We start from the raw sequence: 23,228 nt of genomic DNA, 5'->3' as shown, positions 1-23,228 counted from the left end.
AGAAATATACAGAAAACCAGAAAGGGTCAAAAAATAAGAATTTAGACTATAGTTCATATGATCTTTTCTAAGTTTTCAGCCAAACCTTTCTTCTCTTTGCAACATATATGATCCCCAGAGAAAGGTATCTAAGCCTCTTCTTTAATCCTATCATGTTAATGTTTAAGAGGAAATTAAGGCTCACTGTTTTTAGGTTTTTTCTTTAAAATGAAAGCACACAGAATAGTTTTAATAAGCGTTCAAATGCATGATGGATTTAATAATGCAAGAGTAGGAGAGTTTTGTGCCATGCCATATGTGGAAGCCTGATGCCAATGAGTATGCATGGTAATTGTCCTTTCTATAGATCCTCTGATCTGTTTACTATGGGTTATTATCACTTGTAAATCAATCAAGAACTTTTTGTTCTTATATTCCTTGAAGATCTTTTTTGTTTACTGATCTCTGCTGATTACTGTGTACATTGAGCAATGATTAACAGGTAGGTAGCTATAAAAGGAAGTTACTAATCTGGGATCAGTTGAAGATTACAGAAACCACCCTAGCTATTTTTAACAGAAACAGGACAACATATAGGGAATTAGATGCTTACAAAACACTTGGAATAGTTGAAATAGCAGGTTTTAGGTTGAGCTAAGCTTTCAGGAATACTCCCAGAACACCACCGCATAAACTGACCTGCTAAGGCAACAGTTATCTCTACATAATTGGGAAGCTGGGAATCAGGAACCTGCTTTGCCACCTGCTGGCTCCCAAATATCCTGCTAGTTGTTGCCTAGAAATGAGAGCTTTGCTCAGAAGTACTGATTCCAAAACCACACCATATGGGCTGAATCTCAACAGCAAATGTATGACTTGTGTGCATTCTGTCTCACCACTTACTTACATTTTGAAATCTAGTCTTACACAAGTATATTGCACAAGTTATGCAATAGGCAAAACCTAAATCAAGTGTAGGTATAGGGAAGTTTGGAAATACTGTTTTACCCTCTGCTGCTTCTGCAGAGCATGAATCAGATAAGTCAGTCTACCACACCCCATCCATCACACAGATAAATGAACATTTTTTAAATGTGTTTGTTAAAAGGGGAGAATAAAGTAAAGACAGAGATCGTATAGGTCTGAAAATATTCTATAGTAGTAGTATCTAAAACTGGAAGATCATTAGAATCATCTGGGAAGATTTATATTTATAGAGATTTCAAGTTTATCAAGATTTTGACATAGGCAGTCTGGGGGTAAGGCTGAACTTTGTATTGAAAAACAAAATCTTAAGTTGAAATCCTATGTATGTAATACATTTAATGCCTTATTAACTTGTAAACTAGTACATTCCAGTCTGTCAGAATCATATTAGTAAATTTAGATTCTAATATTTCTTCAGTGCTAAGTACTAAGTAGGACTACAAGACCACTGATGCTACTACTAATTCCTTGACCCTACTGATGATCGTGGAAATGGTGTGTGACTTATGCCAAGACTGCCTCCATATCAGATAAAAGTGTCTTGTGTTATGCAGCAAGGAAGAAATATGACCTATAACTACCCTAAAGATGAAATATGCTAAACCAATGTTAACATGAAAAGCTGTTACAATTAAAACTATCCCCAATCTAAATATAAATTTCCAAGATCCCCAAAGTTTAATCAACTCTCCATTAACTTTTATGGGAACATGCCTGAGGACATTAAAAATTCCTCTTCCAAGAGAGCCACTGGTTCATTTGGGCCTCCAGATGAGTGAAATATATTTATTCTCATTAAAAAAAAGATAATTCTCATGTAAATATTTTCTAACTGAAATTTAAGTCTGTGCAACACATTATTTGCAAGAGAATTTGTTGAAGAAGCTATCAATATGGTTTGATAAATAACATCATTGTAAATTACAAGCGGGCCATTGAAATCTGCAATATTTCTCATTCAATAGCTGATTGGAAACACAGTATTATAAGCCTTTGTTTGAATTTTAGCAGCATAAAATTAAAATAAAATAAAATTGCGGCATTATTTTACTTTTTCTTTCACCGCAAAGCAACTTTTTTAACTGACCAGATCGGTTGAAACCATTAGGATTACACTATTTTTGCTGTTGTTTTTAAAAATATGGGAATGACATTACAAACGTTTGTACTCCTCAATTTGTTAACAGAGAAGTCTCCATTCGAGACTCAAGAAAATGCCAGCATTTCGTAAGTTTTCTACTCGGCCTATTAATTTTCTATCCTTTTGGAAATATTTAATATCCTAAAAATAACATTTGTAGACATAAATAAATATGAGAGATTCTGTGTAAGTTAAGGTGTTTCTGAAACCAAATACATTTTTCTGAATGCATTTATTTCTGCCTCTCCAGTACGTACAAGAAAGTGCTAATCATTGAAGGCAAGTAAAATGATGCTACGTAAACATATAATAATAAATTTTGTATATTTATGTACTTTTAGAAACAGAGCTTACAATAGGATTTAATTTTATAAATTATGTTATGAATTATGTTACAAATATATCATTTATAAATTATAGTGAGCAGCAATTTTTGAAGACCTTTGAGTCTTGAGGAGTGCTGCTTTTATACATTGTGTAATCTGTAATATATAAAAGGAAATTAGTAGTTGATAGAAAACATTATTGGGGAAACCTTGAATTTCCCTTGAAAGTCCATGTCATCATCATGATATCTTTAAAACCCTGAGGTGAGTTTTCATGGGTCACTTCCAGATTCCTGCTGCTGCTACCAATGGAGAATGTCAGGGTATGGTTTGCTTTTCTACCCTCAAGTGCTCAAGCTGTTTTGAACTATGACAGGTAGATGTGGAACTCTATGTCATTCCTTTGTTTCCACAGAGAAACCACCAGACAGGAGGCATTTTTGAGTCTGGTGCTTTTTCCTGAAGTTTTAGGAAGGCACAGTTAATATTGCAAAAATACAAAACCTGTTCGAATGGTGATATCCTCATTCCTTTCTCCTTGTTTCCAACAAGGAAGAAATCCCTATTCATTTCTAATCTAGAGTAATGTAGCCATCTCTTTTATTTCTTTGACACCTGTTAATCCATGACCTCAGTACTAATTGCTTATTAAAGTATTTTCTAATATAATACAGCTCCTTCTCTAAGAGAAAATTCTGATTATCTGGGGGCACAAAGTTAAATTAATCATACCCGTTGGTTAGTGTCATAATCTTATCACTTGTCCATGTTGGTCCAATTTTCATTTATTTGGCTAATTACATAATTATTTTCACTAATGTAATAAACACCCACATGTGAATCCTCCTTTCGAAACAAAGCCTAGGACTTTGAAAACATTCCTGCATCCATTTCCTTACTTTCTCCAACTCAAGGTAAACATCTTCCTGAATCTCATGCTCATCACTTGCTTTTTTGCTTTTATTTAGTTCAGTGCATCTACATATTTTCTTAAAACATATATACCAATGTAATCTTCATAAAATGTTTTACATTGTTATGTAATATGCTAGGAATTAACTTTTTTACATGTGCAATAGTTTATTTTGGGCACATAGTTTGAATTGAAATTGATGGATCATTGATTGGTCATAGGTTAATCTTCAGTTTTAGAAGGTTATGCCAAATTGTTTTCTAAAGTGGACTCACCAATTTATACTCTCACCAGTGGATCAACATATTCCCCAATGCTTAATATTGACAGAGTTTCAATGGTGACCAATCAGATGCATATACAATGACATCTAATTTTTTCTTGACTTGTATTTTCCTAATCATGAATGAAGTGAACATATTTTCATATGTTTAATGGTCTATGATTTCTACCTCTGTGAAATGTCTGTTCTCCTGCCCATTTGCCTGTAGGTTAGTTGTGTTTTTCTTATTTTGTATTGTTGATCCTAATTTTTGTAGTGTGGGAGTCATGAATATATTCTTCCAGTTTGTAACTTACTTTCACTTTCTTTAAAGTAGCTTCTTATGACCAAAAGTTCTTATTTTTAATATTGCCAAATTTATTAATATTTTATGTCATTGTCAATATGTTTCATGTCTTATTTAAGGAAACCACCTACCCAAGGTCCAAAAGATATTCACTTATATTTTCTACCAAGCCCTTTTTTTCTCTCTCTCTCTTCTTTTTTTTTTTTTTTTCCTTTTAGTGGAGAACAGGGTCTTGCTATGTTGCCCAGGCAGGTCCCAAACTCCTGGGCTCAAGCTATCCCCCCACCTCTGTCTCCCTAAGTGGGGGAATTACAGGCATTAGCCACTATGCCTGGCCACCAAGTGATTTAAAGTTTTAACATTTGAACCGTTAACTTGCTGGAGTAGATTTTTGTATATCATAAGAAGTAGGGTTTTAAATTCACTTTTGAATATGTAGATAATAATTTTTTCCAATCCACTTATTGAACATTTCACCACCTAAATGGAATACCATCTCTGTGATTTACCGAAGTCCTCTATGTATTTTAATATATTTCTCTGAACCCTCTTTAATTCCACTAATCAATTAGGTTTGTAACCTTCTAACATTGCTAAGCTGTCAATTTTTATAGCCTCATGACAGTCCTAATAACCGGAAAAGCAAGTCTCCCAATTTGTTACTCTTCTTCAGAAATATCCTATTTATGGCCCTTAATATATGTATATATGGTACTATCATTTTATTATCATCCATAAAAAATTATGTTTTTACATTGGAATCATATCTATTTTATATATTGATCTGGAAGAATTGATACTTCTATGATATTGACTTCCTAGTCATGAAAATGATATACTTTTTTACATATGTAGTCATTAATATTGCATAATAATGTTTTATAATTTCCCCTGCAGGGCTTTTCTACATATTTTTTAAGATTTATTCTTAGATAATTGAGGTTCCCTGAGACTACTGAAAATGTTGTCTTCCCTTTAATTTTCTATTAGTTTGTTACTGTTATATAGAAATACAACTGACTTTAGCAAACATATTATATCTAGTCTGCTTGCTACACTATTCTATTATTTGTAACAATTTGTAGAATATTTTTCAATGTAAATGATCATAAAACGTGCAATTAATGGTATTTTAATTTCCTCCTTTCCAGTTTAATATTTCTTACAATATTATTGCACTGAGGACTTCAATTCAGTTTAAATATAAGCTACCATACTGTGTATTGTTGTCTCATTCTTGATTTTTCCAGGAATGCTTCTAATGTTCACCTATTTATATCACTTCTAGATGTTAATTTTCTATAGAAAATCACTTTTTAGTAGTAAAACCTTTCCCTAAAATTCCTGATTCCCTAATCATTTTTATTATGAATGTGTATGCTGGTGGGTTATATGCTCTTTATCATCTAATACTGTATGGACTTTAAGACCTAAAATAAAACAAGCAAGTCTTTGATCTACTCTACCATCTGCCTCCAGGATGTGGGATGCTAGGTCTGTGCCAACCAGAAATCTGGCAATATATCTTTCCTTGGATATTATAAACAGAAACACTACATTCTAGGTGATTACAGCTGTGTTCCTTCTTTCCTGCACAGTCTTTCTTCTTTCTTCAACCACTCAAAGTTAGAGAAGGACTGAATGTAGCATATTGTACCCTAAGAAGTGTAGTACCTACATAAAAGTTGCTGTCATCTTGAACAAATACTTAAAAACCACTTGAAGCAGCAACTAATGAATATGCATACAATATGTTAAAAAGCCTCAGGGAAGTAGGCAATAGGTGTAGAAAATATCCCAACTCATTTCACAGCAGTTTCTAAACTGGTAGCTGATCCTCTAAACCTATTCTCTAGCTACATATTTGAGAGCAGAACTCTATCAGTTACCATATGACAGCATGTTGAGGGAAAGAAAAAAAAGATCCTTTCCTGTTGTTTGTAACAAAATTTCAGGTCTTGATAAATATTTCTCTTTGCTTGAATAAGAGAAGCAAAATATAATCAAATCCAGCATGAAATCTGTGGGCAGAGCTATAAAAACAATAAAGTAGTAGAGGCCACATTATCTTGAAGACAGAGAATAAGAGTATATTCTCAGAAAATGATCAAAGCAAAAAGAAGAAAAAAAAGTCTCTTTGGCATATCAGTAGGTAGAAGTGGCTTCTATGACACAGGAGCAAGGATTCCTAAGAAGAGAACAGATTGAAATTTTAAAAATGAGCCAGATGAAAGGGAGGTGGGGAGGCTAAAATTAAAAAATAAAATGAGGTAATGAAAAAATTAAAGAAAATTAATAATTAAATAGAAGGAATCAGATCAACATAGGAGACAGTAATGAATAGAATGCCATTGTTTGAAGAGAACTTTCAGAATGCAGAGACATTTTGAATAGTGAAAATAAAAATATTAGACAAGACAGAATAGATAGCCTAAGAGGCACAGATTACCAAGAATGACATCAAAAGAACTGGAATATAAAATATATGCAATAAACAAAAGCATTATTGAGGAAACCTTTCATTTGCTGAAAATAGGCTATATATATATAGATACATATCTAAATCGATCTATCTTTATCTAAACTCTCTATGTAAGATAGATAGAGGTCAAAATGCCATGCCAGCTGATTTGGTTAATGAAAAAAGGACCTAAACTTTCTCATTCTAGCAGTATTTTGAATCAAATATAATTCAGATCAATAAATATAAAACATAAGTGAAAAAATCCAATAAACATTCAATCAGAGAAAAAGATGCCTGTAATGTCATAAGAAGTATGATTGCCCATAGTCTTTTCCATTGCAGAATTGAGATACCAAATGAACACACAGCAATGTTACAAATGTTTTGAAAAAGCTGAGACTCATTTTTTTCCCATTACATGTGCCTGTAAAAGAAGATTTTTCTCTTTGAAAATCAATCAACTGGCATTCTCATTATAATGTTTTCATGTTACTTATCTGCAGGAAGAAACTACATTAGGCAGTGGACTTGGTAACACCATTTACTCTGCAATTATATTTCCCTTGCAAATTAGTAAAGTCTGATTGCATACAACAGTCTTGACAGCCTAGTTGCTTGAGTCTGCTGTTTGAGACAAGATCAAGTTTTGCTGTCAAATCATGTTTCAAAATCCTCAGGATTAAGTCTAGATTCTGAACAATGGCAAACACTTTAAGGCAATGATCATCAACTCGTAGAAAAGACAAACATACACACATCCCTTTCCAAAGGGAAGGGTCTTGCATGTGGGCAGGGAAGATGTATTCAGTTTCATAAGCCATGTTCAAAATTGCCATCGTTTTGACTTACAACATCAAGGGAAGATATGCAGTTTTTAACAAAAAGGGGATGGGTCATAAATGAAACAGTTCATGAGTTCCTTTGAACATCTTTTCTTTGTCTTGTTTGTTTTCTCTTTTTTTTAATTATACTTTAAGTTCTAGGGTACATGTGCAAAATGCACAGGTTTGTTACATATGTATACATGTGCCATGTTGGTGTGCTGCACCCATTAACTCGTCATTTACATTATGTATTTCTCCTAATGCCATCCCTCCCCACTCCCCCCACCCCATGACAGGCCCTGGTGTGTGATGTTCCCCTTCCTGTGTCCAAGTGTTCTCATTGTTCAATTCCCACCTATAAGTGAGAACATGAAGTGTTTGGTTTTCTGTCCTTGCAATAATTTGCTCAGAATAATGGCTTCCAGCTTCATCCATGTCCCTACAAAGGACATGAACTCATCCTTTTCTATAGCTGCATAGTACTCCATGGTGTATACGTGCCACATCTTCTGAATCCAGTCTATCATTGATGGACATTTGGGTTAGTTCCAAGTCTTCGCTATTGTGAATAGTGCCACAATAAACATACGTGTGCATGTGTCTTTGTAGCATGATTTATAATCCTTTGGGTATATACCCAGTAATGGGATCACTGGGTCAAATGGTATTTCTAGGTTTAGATCCTTGAGGAATCGCCTTCCTGTCTTCCACAATGGTTGAACTAGTTTACACTACCACTAACAGGGTAAAAGTGTTCCTATTTCTCCACATCCTCTCCAGCACCTGTTGTTTCCTGACTTTTTAATGATTGCCATTCTAACTGGTGTGAGATGGTACCTCATTGTGGTTTTGATTTGCATTTCTCTGATGACCAGTGATGATGAGCATTTTTTCATTTGTCTGTTGGCTGCATAAATGTCTTCTTTTGAGAAGTGTCTGTTCATATCCTTCACCCACTTGTTGATGGGGTTGTTTGATTTTTTTCTTGTAAATTTGTTTACATTCCTTGTAGATTCTGGATATTAGCCCTTTGTCAGATGGGTAGATTGCAAAAATTTTCTCCCATTCTGTAGGTTGGCTGTTCACTCTGATGGTAGTTTCTTTTGCCGTGCAGAAGCTCTTTAGTTTAATTAGATCCCATTTGTCTATTTTGGCTTTTGTTGCCATTGCTTTTGGTATTTTAGTCATGAAGTCCTTGCCCATGCCTATGTCCTGAATGGTGTTGCCTAGGTTTTCTTCTAGGGTTTTTATGGTTTTAGGTCTAACATTTAAGTCTTTAATCCATCTTGAATTAATTTTTGTATAAGGTGTAAGGAAGGGATCCAGTTTCAGCTTTCTACATATGGCTAGCCAGTTTTCCTAGCACCATTTATTAAATAGGGAATCCTTTCCCCATTTCTTGTTTTTGTCAGGTTTGTCAAAGATCAGATGGTTGTAGATGTGTGGAATTACTTCTGAGGGCTCTGTTCTGTTCCATTGATCTATATATCTGTTTTGGTACCAGTACCATGCTGTTTTGGTTACTGTACCCTTATAGTATAGTTTGAAGTCAGGTAGCATGGTATCTCCAGCTTTGTTCTTTTTCCTAAGGATTGTCTTGGCAATGTGGTCTCTTTTTTGGTTCCATATGAACTTTAAAGTAGTTTTTTTCCAATTCTGTGAAGAAAGTCATCGGTAGCTTGATGGGGATGGCAATGAATCTGGAAATTACCTTGGGCAGTATGGCCATTTTCACTATATAGCATCTTCCTACCCATGAGCATGGAATGTTCTTCCATTTTTGTCCTCTTTTATTTCATTGAGCAGTGGTTTGTAGTTCCCCTTGAAGAAGTCCTTCACATCCCTTTTAAGTTGGATTCCTAGGTATTTTATTCTCTTTGAAGCAATTGTGAATGGGAGTTCACTCATGATTTGGCTCTCTGTTTGTCTGTTATTTGTGTATAGAAATGCTTGTGATTTTTGCACATTGATTTTGTATCCTGAGACTTTGCTAAAGTTGCTTATCAGCTTAAGGAGATTTTGGGCTGAGACGATGGGGTTTTCTAAATATACAATCATGTCATCTGCAAACAGGGACAATTTGACTTCCTCTTTTCCTAACTGAATACCCTTTATTTCTTTCTCCTGCCTGATTGCCCTGGCAAGAACTTCCAACACGATGTTGAATAGGAGTGGTGAGAGAGGCCATCCCTGTCTTGTGCCAGTTTTCAAAGGGAATGCTTCCAGTTTTTGCCCATTCAGTATGATATTGGCTGTGGGTTTGTCATAAATAGCTCTTATTATTTTGAGATATGTCCCATCAATATCTAGTTCATTGAGAGTTTTTAGCATGATGGGCTGTTGAATTTTGTCAAAGGCCTTTTCTGCATCTATTGAGATAATCATGTAGTTTTTGCCATTGGTTCTCTTTATATGATGGATTATGTTTATTGATTTGTGTATGTTGAACCAGACTTGCATCCCAGGGATGAAGCCCACTTGATCATGGTGGATACGCTTTTTGATGTGCTGCTGGATTCAGTTTGCCAGTATTTTATTGAGGATTTTTGCATCAGTGTTCATCAGGGATATTGGTCTAAAATTCTCTTTTTTTGTTGTGTCTCTGCCAAGCTTTGGTATCAGGATGACGCTGGCCTCATAAAATGAGTTAGGGAGGATTCCCTCTTTTTCTATTGATTGGAATAGTTTCAGAAGGAATGGTAACAGCTCTTCTTTGTACCTCTGGTAGAATTTGGCTGTGAATCCGTCTGGTCCTGGACCATTTTTGGTTGGTAGGCTATTAATTGTTGCCTCAATTTGAACATCTTCTTTTCAAAACTTGAAAAACAGAAAAGAATTGAGTTAAAATTGATTTCTTTTTCAGAAAGGATTAAATTATTATTTTATGAAGTCTTCTCATTTAGAGGCCATGAGGTTTTGACTTCATTTATTCCAAAATTTGATACTTCTTTGGGTAACATATTTATTTTCTACATTTAAGTATGTGTTATCAATTCTTTTGCTCTCCTTAAGATAGCTGTGGGTTTCAAAATAATTAAAACAAAACCAAAATGAAGCAAACTCTACAACCCAGGGATTAGCATTTTTAATCATAAGTCTGTTTGGATCTAGTACTTAGATCAATTAATATAATAATCTTTGACTGCCCTATATTGAAATCCTATTACGAGAAGATTTTCTTGTTTTGACTCTGAAAGATTACTGGCCAGGTTCAAAATACAGGGTGCATCTTTACATAAATGATATAGTCTGGCCAGTTTCAAAACACAGGGTATATCTTTAGATAACCTAACTTCTTTAGCATATAAGTAATGGTCTGAAAATCACAGTGTTACTCTGGATCATCTCTTAGGTTTCTTCTTTGTCTAATGTCCTAGAGTTCTTTGGTATTTCTATAGTATTTGGCTCATTTTCAAATTTAACCTCATAGAAACCCTATCAGACAAGTTAAGAGGTCTTCCACTGTGTATGTTAACAGTCACCTTGCAGGAAAACATTATCTCATACCTCAGGAAGCAGTTATCTAGATGCTCTCACGATTCAAGTTCAAAGCAAACGAAACAATTCTACCAAAATAAAACTTTGAGATAGAAAATATTTTTAAACTTTTAAGAGACAGAATTGGGGAAGAGGGACAGAACTAAATAGTTATGTTTGAGTTCACAGATAAATAAAGCTAACTTTAACCTGGAAGTCTCATAAATCTTGCTTTGACATGAATTTTAATAAAAATCTGATTAGTTAATGAGGAACCATGTACTAATCTTTTACAAAGCTGCAAAGCATTCATTTAAGTTATAATAGTGATATATCACTATTATATATTCATTTTCTCATTTCTAGCATTTTGCAGTTTTTATTATATCAATTTTGGCCACTATTATATATCAAAATTGTTTGATTTAAATATCATTTAAATTCAATATAATGTTACAGCAAATTAAGATATTTGCTGTTTGTAAAAAAGAACCACTTATAAAAGATTAGTTTTACAATGTAAATCACTCCCCAATCATATTTTTCATAGTCAAAATCAAGTGAAAAGAAGTATAGCTAATAAGCCAAAAGTTGCTATAAATTACTATGCTAAAGAAAATTCAATTAATCTAAAAGAAGGCAGGAACAGAAGGAAAAAAAAAACAAAGAGCAGATGGATAGGACTAAGAGAAATCAAAGAGCAAGATGGTAGAACTTAAAAAAACAACAACAGGCCCCAAATTATGCTGTCTACAAGAAATTTACTATAAATATAAAGTCACATATGTTAAAAGGATGAAGAAAATGTATCATGCAAATGCTAATGATAAGGAAGCTGGAATGGTTATATTATGAGATAAAGTAGACTTCAGGACAATGAACCTCACTGGGGACAAAGAGGAACATTTTACAGGATTAAAGTATCAATTATTCAATTATTTCTTGAAAGGGGCATGAGGGAACTTCTTAACAGTGATGGAAATGTTCTCCATCTCGACTGACTCTTTGAATACTTGGGTGTGTACCTTGGTCAAAACTATTAAACTGTACACTTTAAATAGGTACAATTATGGTATGTAAATTATATCTTTTTTTTTTTTGAATCAGAGTCTCGCTCTGTCGCCCAGACTGGAGTGCAGTGGCAACCTCCGCCTCCTGGGTTCAAGTAATTCTCCTGCCTCAGCCTCCTGAGTAGCTAGGACTGCAGGCACCCGCCACCACACCCGGCTAATTTTTGTATTTTTAGTAGAGATGGGGTTTCACCATATTGGCCAGGCTGGTCTCAAACTCCTGACCTTGTGATCTGACCCCCTGGCCTCCCAAAGTGCTGGGATTACAGGCATGAGCCACTGTGCCCGGCCTGTAAATTATATCTTAATAAAGTTTAAAAAAAAGAAAAAATGGCATTTCCAAATGAATCATAAGTGGGCTAGAGTAGTATTGTAGCATAGTTATTTAGAGCATGTATGCTTGGCCAGACTGCCAGGGGCTAAATCCTGCCTCCTTATATTCCTCACCATATATAAAATTAACTAATTTAACTTCTCTGTGCCTCAGTTTAATTTTAAAATAAGCATTATTGTCACAGTTAAACAGTAGTTGTAAGGACTAAATGAGTTACTACAAATAAAGTGCTTAGAAGAATGTCACAGCAAGTACTCAATCCATGTTAGCTATTATTAAATTCTGTATCCTCTGATTAAGCCTGATTAAGATTGGATGCTTGTAATGATTTGTAGCATTATTTTAATGCATCAAAAGGAGAAAAATAGGAAGAAAAGAAGAAGGAAGAAAAATAGCCCTTTGTTGGAAATCAGTTTTTAACCAAATTAACTAGAATTTATTTGGATGTCTAGATTTTTAGCTTGAGCAATGACAGACCTCTTTCTGTAATTGAATTTGCATAGCTGACACACACCCTATGGGGGAAGTTTGTGGCCAAATACCGAGAACAGTTTAGAATTGTTGGCAAGAATTCTTGCTACCTGATTTGGAAACCCCCATGAGGAACATCTAGGCTCTGTACTGTCATACTCTACAAAAAGGAAAGGCTTCATAAGTATGTTTGAATAAATTAATGAATGGGAGAGCATGGAATTCATTCTAAGTATGTGAAACCTAGTGGCCCTGCTTTATAACTTCATAAAGGAAAAACTCAAGAAGAGAACAGAATATTATGTTGGTCCCAAGGGAGCTTGTTTCTTTAAGTAACTCTTTAGAGCATTGTGTAGCTCTACCATTTTCCACTATAAGATTTAGAAGCAGTCATGCTAATTGCTGTCCTATTGAGCAGTGGTCCCTAAATAATTTTTATGTTTTACCCCATCAAAAAAGTTTGACAACCTGATATATGTATATTTATTTATTCATAACTTATATGCACATATTACCATATTAACATAGTGTGAACATTATAAAACATATAAAATATAATGTGGAGACAATGAGATGAAGATGACATAAGTAATATTTTTATATATTGTCTTCCTAATTGTAGATGGCTTCATAATACTGTTGGCTACAATTTCAAAGCCCAGCATATACTTAGGGTAAGGATTATCTTCAGGAACAATGGACATAAATTCACATTTCAAGTCATCCTATAATTATGAACTTTCTTAGCGATTTTTTTTGTTAAAACTATTTATATGGCCCAAATTTATACCTTAGAATTTGATTGACAAGAACTTGCACTAGGAATAGAACACCTATCAGCACTCATCTTTTGTTGTTAGACTGTACACATAGCATTAGCATTGTCTTATATCCTCAGTTGTTTTACAGACATTCTCCCAGTCTTTTAGTCTCATTTTAATTAAAACTAGATAACACTGGGAGGCCAAGGTGGGCGGATCATCTGAGGTCAGGAGTTTAAGAGCAGCCTGGCCGACATGGCAAAACTTTGTCTCTACTAAAAATACAAAAATTAACCAGATGTGGTGACACATGCCTGTAATCCCAGCTACTTGGGAGGCTGAGACAGAAGAATTGCTTGAACCCAGGAGGCAGAGTTTGCATAGAGCCAAGATTGTGCTACAGCATTCCAGCCTGGGAACAAAGCAAGACTCTGTTAATTAAAAAAAAAAAAAAAAAAAGCTAGATAATATAATTCACAAATTTACTTAATTTGCTTTATTGCATTGCAATGAAGTAAAGCCCAGTAAGGTAAAATGGATGAAAAGTGAGACTGCCCCTGTCCATTGTTCACTCTGTCCTCAGGATACTATGAAAAGTGACTGACACATGTCTAAGTAAAGGACCAGTGTCAATCCACATATAAATCTTAGTAAAGATCAAATTCTATCTCATTTTATATAAAATTAAATAGTAACGGGAATACTAATATTTTCTTCTTTTAGTACCTTAATATTTTATTCCGGCACCTTAACAGACTCCTTGGAACGCATGCACCTCCCCTAAAGGAACCAGCCAATCATGAAAGAAAGCCTGCAATCCACACAAGTAGGAGAGAAGCCTCAAGGTTAGCGGGTACAAATTTTCAGCGCAGACCTACATATAGTAACGTATTTCTTTGTCTTGTTTTTATCTGAACTTCATTACTGACTCAACTTCTCATGTGTATCTAGTAGCAGAAAGCTCTATTCAGTCACTTTTCTGCAAACTCTGTTTAATTTGTGATTATTGAGGGATTTGAATGTTTTGCTAAATCAATTCAAGGACTCCCTCCTCCTCTTCTACGACATTGCATCTAATATCTGAGGACAGGGCATGACATGACAGGGACAGGGGCCTAGGGCCAGAAAGGAATTTATGGTCTTTATAGTAGTATCACGATATTTAGTCTTCAGTCATCTTCTCGGTGATTCCTACTCAGCCCCAGTGCATCTGATGCTGTCCCACATATAAAAAGTGAGGTGTCAAGAAAGAGTACAAGACTTTTGGCTGGAGAACTGATTGAATTGTAATTCCACTTAGCATACTGTGGAGACCAAGAGAAAAAATTGGATTGGAAGGGGTAAATCAGTATCTCTCTCTTGGAAATAAGTTTGAGATGTCTATTATACACTCAAGGCAGATATCAGACGGTAGACTTTTGAATATAGCAGTCTGGAGTTCATAAGAGAGGTTTATGGTTAAGATATACACTTAGGAGAAACCAGAAGATATGATTGATCTTTAAAGCCATGGGACCAAATTATTAATAGATCACTTAACCCTTAGTTTCCCATGAGTGAATGTGGACAGTGCAAAGAAGTGATTCAAAGCCTGAGCCTTAGGAACTCTCCAGCTTTCATAAAACAGGAAGAATAGAAGGATCCAGACAAGGAAACTGAGAAAGAGAGGCCAGTGAAATGAGAGGAAAACAAGGATAGTGTCATATATCAGAAGCCAAAGGAAGAAGCGCTCTAAGGAGTGAGTGGTCACCTGTCAAGTGCTGATGAGAAGTTGGGAAAGACAAAGATAGAGTTGATCTTCAGACTGGGTAATGTAGTAGTCATTGATGACTTTGATGAGTGATTTCCATAGACTGGAGGAGAGTGGCTTTAAGAGAAACTAAGAAGAGACAAACGGGATGTATTATCGACAAGTCCTTTAAAGAATTTTTCATAAAGAAGGACTCAGAAATTGGGGCAGTAGTTAGATAGAGAGGATTGAAGGAACAAAGCATTTCAGTGAGCAAGAGAACAGAGGACATGGGATATAAGTAGAAGTTTGAGGTTAGATGAGAGTAGAATGCAGATTATATTGCTACAGATGCATATATGTTGGTGAGCATGGTGGTGCCGACAGGAAGTCCTTTTTAATTGGGTCTATTTTCTCATTGAAATTAGAAGCAACTTCATTAATAGAATGAAGAGGGGAAGGTATTTCAGCAGTTAAGGAAAATATGAAATAGTTACCTCACTGTAGGAGTTCAATCAGGGTGGTGGGAAAAATTATAAAAATTATAGAAAGATGCAAACCTTCTTGGAAGGCCAGGAGGTTTTGCAAAGCTTGGGGGAAGAATGAGCCAAAGGCGGTGGTTCTTACCCCAGGGCAAAGGGCGAGAAGTAGGTACAAAAGAATGCAGGGGAGTTTATCTGAATAGCTTGTTTACTCATGTCTCCAGGAACCTGGCCTGTAATCATCTGCTCTCTCCCGTTGGGGAGAGGAGGGGAAAGGGGGGAGCGCAGAACTGCTCTATCCCCGGAGGAGGGGCGGCCATGTTAATTACCCACAAGTGTGTTGACTCAAAGCCTTTGTCATTAAATCTGTACTGTATAAACGCCCGCAGCACTGGCTTGTTGGGACTGCAGCCGCTGTGACTCTTTACAGCATCCTCCTTGATGTCTTTAAGTGGCCTGGTCCCCTAACCCACTCTTTCAATGGATACCTGTGTCTGTGTGAATTTTTTCATCTGTCGTTTGGCTGGGGTCTGCTGGTCAGACCCAGCACCTCATAGAAATTGGGAAGGTATTCATTCAAGAAACATACTGGGAGGAGGCCACGCGCGGTGGCTCATGCTTGTAATCCCAGCACTTTGGGAGGCTGAGGCGGGCAGATCACAAGGTCAGGAGATCAAGGCCATCCTGGATAACACGGTGAAACTCCATATCTACTAAAAATTAAAAAAAAAAATTAGCCGGGCGTGGTGGCAGGCGCCTGTAGTCCCAGCTACTCGGGAGGCTGAGGCAGGAGAATGGCGTGAACCCGGGAGGCAGAGCTTGCAGTGAGCCGAGATTGCACCACTCCAGCCTGGGCTACAGAGCGAGACTCCGTCTCAAAAAAAAAAAAAAAAATACAAAACATATTGGGAGGAGTAGAAAATGTTGAATTCTCACTTAAGAATCAAGGTTATAAGTAAAAATTCACACTTTATAATATATTTTATAATATAATAGTTCATACTATATTATAATGAGATGTAACGTAAATGTAAATTAATAATAAAAAGAAGTACATGTTTTTTAGTGTTCAAATGCAGCCCAGAGTAGGAAGAGAGATGAATTTTGCTAGGGTTGAGTTTCACTTGGTGAGGACAATGGAGAGAGAAAGGGTCAAGTGACTTTATGATATATGCAAGGAAGTACAGCAATAGATCATGGCATATAAGCCAAGTATTGGCAAGGTGAGTAAGTGAGAGAGAGAGGACACAGGGAAGAAATGGTAGAGTAAATTGATTAGAAATCCCTGGTGTTAAAGCCTTTTGGAGTAGCACTATTGGAAGTAGTGAACTGGAAAAAAAAAAAAGTGATTGTTAGAGAATGAGAATCTGGGAGTGGTACAGTTAGTGGTGATGTCAATACCTGGGAAATAACCAGTAGAAAGGTTGGTGAGTTTAGGTGGAGAACATTGTAATTGAAAGGGACACCAGGGAACTGCAAGTCCTGGGAGTTGGATAGATCTTCTGTGTGGGTGCGAGGGCTATGAAAATGATGCTGAGTTTAAGAGATAGGTGGTGAGCCAGGTAATTCAATTTTCATGAAATCAAGAGGTATGAGGGGAAGTTCTTAGGCTAACAAGTGGGGACGGAAAAGAGGATAGTCTTAGCACATGTACTTCAAAGGAGGCTACACAGAGACAGAAGGAAACAATGATCTGAATGAATTGGACAAAACACCCATTGTTACCACTGAAAAGTGGGTGGGGGGTGGGGGGATGGGGAGCATGGGAGGAAGGAGTTTTAAAGCGAATGTTTTTCAGTTTAAGAAGCCTGAACCTTTGACAAAAGTTGAGATCTTGAAGGTCTTGGGGCAAATGAAGAAAAGGTGGATCATTTCAGAAAAGTCGTCCAGAAGTTGGAAGCGTCTGAGAGCTGCAGCACAGTGGAGGACTTGCCTCAGGCATGGAGACATTTCTTCCATTGAAATAGGGAGGAGGAAGGCAGAGCACGTGGACACTGAAGCAGGAAGCTGGTGGTTTGGTGGAAGAAGATGAGGAAATATTTGTTTAATTTTCTCTATGAAATATAACACATTCATCAACTGAAGACCATCCTTAAGTGAACTGAGCTTATCTAGGATTGAAAAAGATTAGGCAGAAACCACTTTGTGGAACTCCTATTTAAAACTAAGTTTAAATTTAGAAAAATAAAATTATATTTCTTATACAGCTAAGTGTTGTGAGCTGATAATGGTACCTGAGGCAGGAGAATAGGGTCTGAAGGCAGGGAACCTAAGGCTGTTTCATGCTGACTTCCTATAACTAAATTGAAAGGAAAACCCTAACTTTCCATGCCTAAGTAATAAAAGGACCAGAGGCTTCTCCCTTTGACCTTTTCTGCGTGGCAGATGGAAGACTGGCAACAAATTATCCTGAGTGCCCGTCTGGTCTTTGTTTGCAACTTTGTAACTTCACTCCAGCCTCTGAATGGTAGCTGTCTGCAACCAATCAGACTGATTGCCAGCTACCACTTCAGTTACATGAGGTGAGCATGAAGTGGCCAATGGAAAACTTCTGTGGGCGGGGGGGGGGCGGGATTTGGACCCAAGAAGATTCTGTATCCAGGCCCTTAAGCTGCTGCTCGAGTCCACTTCCACACTGTGGAGTGTACTTTCATTTTCAATAAATCCCTGCTTTCGTTCTTTTGTTGCTTCATTCCTTCGTTTTGCTGGGCGTTTTATCCAATTCTTTGTTCAAAATGCCAAGAACCTGGACAACCTGCAGTCATGACCCTCTATCGGTGACAGTACCCACTGTGTGTAGGAGCTCATCCATGACAAATATGTGCACCACAGCAAGTCATCTTGAGGTGACAGATGGGCGAGAACTTGGGGAGGAGGCAGACTCCAAGGTCAATACGGTTCTAGATAAACCAGTAGACAGTGATGAGACTGAGTGTGAGCGAATTACTGAATGCTTTCAATTTTCTGAGTAGATGCACAGAAGTCTATGTAAAGAAAGAAACAAGAGGCAGCAGAGCCTTGTAAATTGCCAAGATTCAATTTGCTAAATCAGTGGAGAACACTTAGGGAGGGGTGAAAATTATCTTTAGAGCCCATTCTTGAAGTTCTGAATTTCCGAAACAGATATCTACAAAGGCACAGCAATACAGATAGCCCAAGTTACCCTGCAGGGCTGCCAGAAAGCAGTGGCCTGGGCACCTGCTGGGAGACAGATCTTGTTTTTGAAGAGGAATTGGAATTTCATTATAAAGCCAGAGAGAAACGGTTAGTCTCGCAGACAGAATTTTTTTCAGAGAGCTGCTAAGCATTTTGTCTAGAGTAAGCATCTTTCTTTTGCTTTGCCTTTATGAAAATGGCATTTTGTCTTTAGCTGGGACTCTTAAAGAAACCACAGCAAAAAACAATGGAAACAACACAGGCTTAGTTAGTGGACTCAACAAACCAGAGAGAGACCACTAACCCTATGCAAGCCTCAGCTTGACTAATAACTTTCTTGAACTAAGCAGGTGATGGCAAAAGACTAGGCAATAACAATGTAGAGGGGGTAGAGATGGCTAAAATTTTGGGTTGGGAAACAGACTACACTGTCTGTAAACTCTAAATAGAGCCACAAGGCTTACTTCGCTGGAGACTATCCAAATTCACCCATGGTGTCCTGGCATAATTATTAAGTGTCCCCTTTCACTTTCAGAAGTGTACTAGCTTAGACAAAGGTCCAAGAGATTCTATCTATAGAAAAACCAACTCTTCACCCCTTATGCAAGAAGTTTCCTCAGAGCTTATTCATAAAGGAGAAATTCAGCCAGCATCATGCCAATATCTCCAGGAGGGTAAGGTTGGGGGTGGGAATGGCTTAGGCCAACATTTAGAGGAAAGAAATCCCCTATATATAAAATGTTGACAATTCTAGCCAAAGAGATTGCAGATGTAACCCACTATTTAGGTTTAACCCTGCAGAGGGGTTAGGAAATATTACCCATAGAACCACAGAGTGCATGCATGCATGATTGAGGGACTTACTATTTTTGTGAAATAGATTCTGTACAGAAAACTAATTCTCACCCTTTTAAAGATTGCAGGCAAGGATGAACACATCTAAATGAGAAGTCAATTTTCTTCCTCAGAACACAGAGTTACTAGAACAAAATAACATTTTGAAATATAAATCATTGATTTTTTTATATTTGCTCCTTTGCCTTTTCCTCAATCAAATTAGTACATTAGAAAAGTTGCTAGGGGAGGTTTGCTAACAAAGAAAATTGGGAGATGGTGGTGGGGTTAGGGGTGGAAAGCTGGGGTGGGTGGTGGTTTTTCAGTTACAGAAGTCAAAGCATTTGGGTTTGGGGACCCAGGGATATAAACAATGGGCCTGAGAGAATGTCTGCTGACATAAGAGCCAGTCCTCCAGCTCAGGTTTTATAAGATCTGTAGGAAATAAAGATGACCTGGGTTGGGGCAGAGGGATGAGAGGAAAGCAAGGAGGGAGATGGGGAGGAAGCAAGAGAGCCTGGGAGCTAGCAAGGCCCTGAGGAGCCCCAGATTCCTTTGCCGGCTTCCCTTCCTCAGGCTGAGTGCTGAAATAGGTGTACAAGGTAGAAATCCTTCTTAAATTTGGAAGGATATGAGGGTTGAAGCGTTTGTACCTCAGTTCCCAGGTGGAGTGGAAGGTGGAAAGCTTTGTTGAGTTCTGCAGCATAGCAGAGCATAATAATAGAATGTGCCATTTGCATTATTTAAATAGATGTCTCTGACACAGAATTTCCGAGCTGAATGTTTCTTATGTGCTCAAAAAAAGTGAAAATAACTAAGTGTAAAGTGAAACCAGAAGGGTCTTTTAGACAGGATGTGGTAGTAACTATGTGGAAGCTTTAAAGGAAGACTTCTCGGCATAGATGCCTGCATGCATAGATGGTGAAAATTGAGGACAAGATGCACCCACAGTACCTGGCTTCCTCACAGCCCATCACCATCACCTGCAATATAGGGACAACAGGAAGGATGAGGCAGTAAGAATAGAAGCACACATTTATGTAGGGACCAGGCATGTAGTTTACATATTCTGTGTAGTTTACGTATATTAACACACTTAATTCTCACAACCACCCTATGATGTAAATACCACTATAGTACTCACTTTATGGATGAGAAAACAGGCATGCAGAGGTTAAGAATAAAAATTCTGAATTAATTTAGAGTAAGTGGAACTAATTGACAACAATTTTATGATACCTTCTAGACTAGAGAACTCAAAGAAAAAAATTTAAGCACACATATTTATTTATTCATAATACATATGATTTTATTGCATACCTAAATTTTCACACAGACATGTGAACCCACTAAAGATATCTATTGGGAATTATGAGGTGATATATAAACCAGCTAATAAAGACTGAAAATAACAGCATAATTGGCATGAAAACACAGAAAAAGTCAGAGTAACTCAAGCAGTCCAAAAGAACAGGCAAAGCTTCAAAATCCGAACTTTTCAGCGTAGTCTCTCAACTTTCCCTTATTCTTCCACTCATCAGCTAACTCCTGACTTCAGTTTTCTCTCTTCACTGGCTTTGCCTGAGACTAAAGTCTGCTTTTATCAACACCTTAAATTATCACACAACATTCCGGTTTAGACCAAGTTTCTTGTCTTCTTTGTTTAGTTCTTCCTTTAACAGCAGTGGGGCCCAGGGGAGGGTAAAAATAAGGCTCACATACCATTAAACATATGTCTTATCTCCCTACCTTGCCAAATACACTTTCCTAATGAAAAAATCCAAAGACATGGGTAACAAACACTATGGTTTCATAAGGCTGAAAACTAGCAAGATATCAAAGACAAATGAATTTAGTTATTATTGCACATGTCTGGTTGTACTGTTGATGCATGATTAATGTATAAATCAGTAATAAAGACAAGTTTAATTTTTGATCTATTATTTATTACATAAAATGTGTTTTTCTTGCTTTCATTTTAGCAAAATGATTATTTCATAATAATTATTAATATTTTCACCTATTTTAAGATCTACTGGTAGCAATTATTCTAAAAGATGAAAAGACAATATGTAATCATATTCAGTGCATGCAAAGCTTGAATACTATTTCATCAAAAAAGCAAATTAAAATTAATGTAAACTAATTCAAAAATTAAAATTATTTTTTACATTTTCAAAAAATTATCTCATGAAATATTCAACATTAGTTATTAAAATTATAAAACATAAAAATTTAAAATTGAATATTTAAGGTTTTTATTTAATTTTTAAAAATTTACATAAATCTTATTGTGTATGTTAATACAATTCAAACTACTCATAATTCCCGTGTTCAATTTTCAGCTAGTTGAGCTGGTATCACAATTCATGTTATGTCTAGAAGTAACATAAATAACTTAATTCTATAAAATGTCCCTCAGCCACCAGGTGCAACTGTTGTGAATGTCATCATGATTTGTGGTTAATACTGGAACCATAAACTGCAACATGAAATGAAGCAAGAAACAGTATGCTTGGTATTACGGGAAATGATCTTTTATAATACAAGAATCTACTGCCTTCTTCTTGTCTGTGAGAAATCATTTGACAAGTTAATTTGTCTTTTATCTTAGCTAAATGATTCCCCTGCTCAAATCTTCCCTCCACTCAAAGCATTATTTGTTTTGCAGACTGGCAAGGAAACTGCCCACAAACATTTGTGGCATTTAAATACAGCTGCCTTCTCTTTCAAGGATATAGGATACTGGAAAGGATATATATGAAGTGATTCCCTGGATCTTGGGTGGTGTCAGTCATGAGAGTAGATATTTAGGGTTATAAGTCACGTTATTCCATTTTGGAGCATCGGACCTTAAGAAACAAAGACACTTCTTTTTCCTAATATGGAAATATTCACACATAAAAACAGAGAGAGAGACTATTAATCATCACTTAATTTTCACTATTATCATTATGGTCATGTGTTCTTTAATAAATGTAGGCAGCATCATAAAATGTTTTCAAAATTCAGAAAAATAAGCTGTTTACCTTTTTGTTGATTTGCTGTTTTGATAAGTGCAGATCTCCAATCCTTCTCCTTCAGTTGCATTCCACCAGGTTTAAGGGAGGAGACCACCCCTCATATTGTCTTATACCCAATTTTTGCCTCCAAAGAAAGAAGTAAAAACTAAAAGGCAGAAATGAAATCCACAAGCAGACAACCCAGTGCCACACCCTGGGCCTGGTAGTTAAAGATCAACCCCTGACCTAATTGGTTATGTTATCTATAGATTACAGACATTGTATAGAAAAGCACTGTGAAAATCCCTGTCCTATTCTGTTCCGTTCTAATTACCGGTGCACGCAGCCCCCAGTCATGTACCCCCTGCTTGCTCAATCAATCACGACCCTCTCAAGCGACCCCCTTAGAGTTGTGAGCCCTTAAAAGGGACAGGAATTGCTCACTCAGGGAGCTCAGCTCTTGAGACAGGAGTCTTGCTGATGCTCCCGGTGGAATAAACCACTTCCTTCTTTAACTCAGTGTCTGAGGGGTTTTGTCTGCGGCTTGTCCTGCTACATTTCTTGGTTCCCTGACCAGGAAACGTGGTGATTAACGGACAGTGGAGGCAGCCCCTTAGGCGGCTTAGGCCTGCCCTGTGGAGCATCCCTGCAGGGGACTCTGGCCAGCTTGAGCGACGTGGATCCTGAGAGCGCTCCCGGGTAGGCAATT

At 36.7% G+C, this 23,228-nt stretch overlaps 1 protein-coding gene across 1 annotated transcript in view, besides 1 other annotated feature; it reads right to left on the bottom strand.

Moving 5' to 3' along the window:
• FABP7 (fatty acid binding protein 7) overlaps positions 1-22,680 on the bottom strand; it is a 34,874-nt gene extending 12,194 nt beyond the window's left edge. The window contains exon 1 of the mRNA NM_001319042.2: positions 22,547-22,680. Coding sequence (NP_001305971.1) covers positions 22,547-22,607 — 61 coding nt within the window. The 5' untranslated portion in view covers positions 22,608-22,680. The remainder of the gene's footprint in view (positions 1-22,546) is intronic.
• Positions 15,594-16,173: an enhancer, noted in NCBI's record as "NANOG-H3K4me1 hESC enhancer chr6:123076853-123077432 (GRCh37/hg19 assembly coordinates)". NCBI's record gives its function as "activates a minimal SCP1, AML or CMV promoter by ChIP-STARR-seq in naive and primed H9 embryonic stem cells {active_cell/tissue: H9 hESC(naive and primed)}" and the evidence as "EXISTENCE:reporter gene assay evidence [ECO:0000049][PMID:30033119]".

This window comes from Homo sapiens, chromosome 6 (assembly GCF_000001405.40).
Source record: "Homo sapiens chromosome 6, GRCh38.p14 Primary Assembly".
NCBI classification, from domain to species: Eukaryota; Metazoa; Chordata; class Mammalia; order Primates; family Hominidae; genus Homo; species Homo sapiens.
This window is presented reverse-complemented; position numbering and strand designations above follow the sequence as displayed.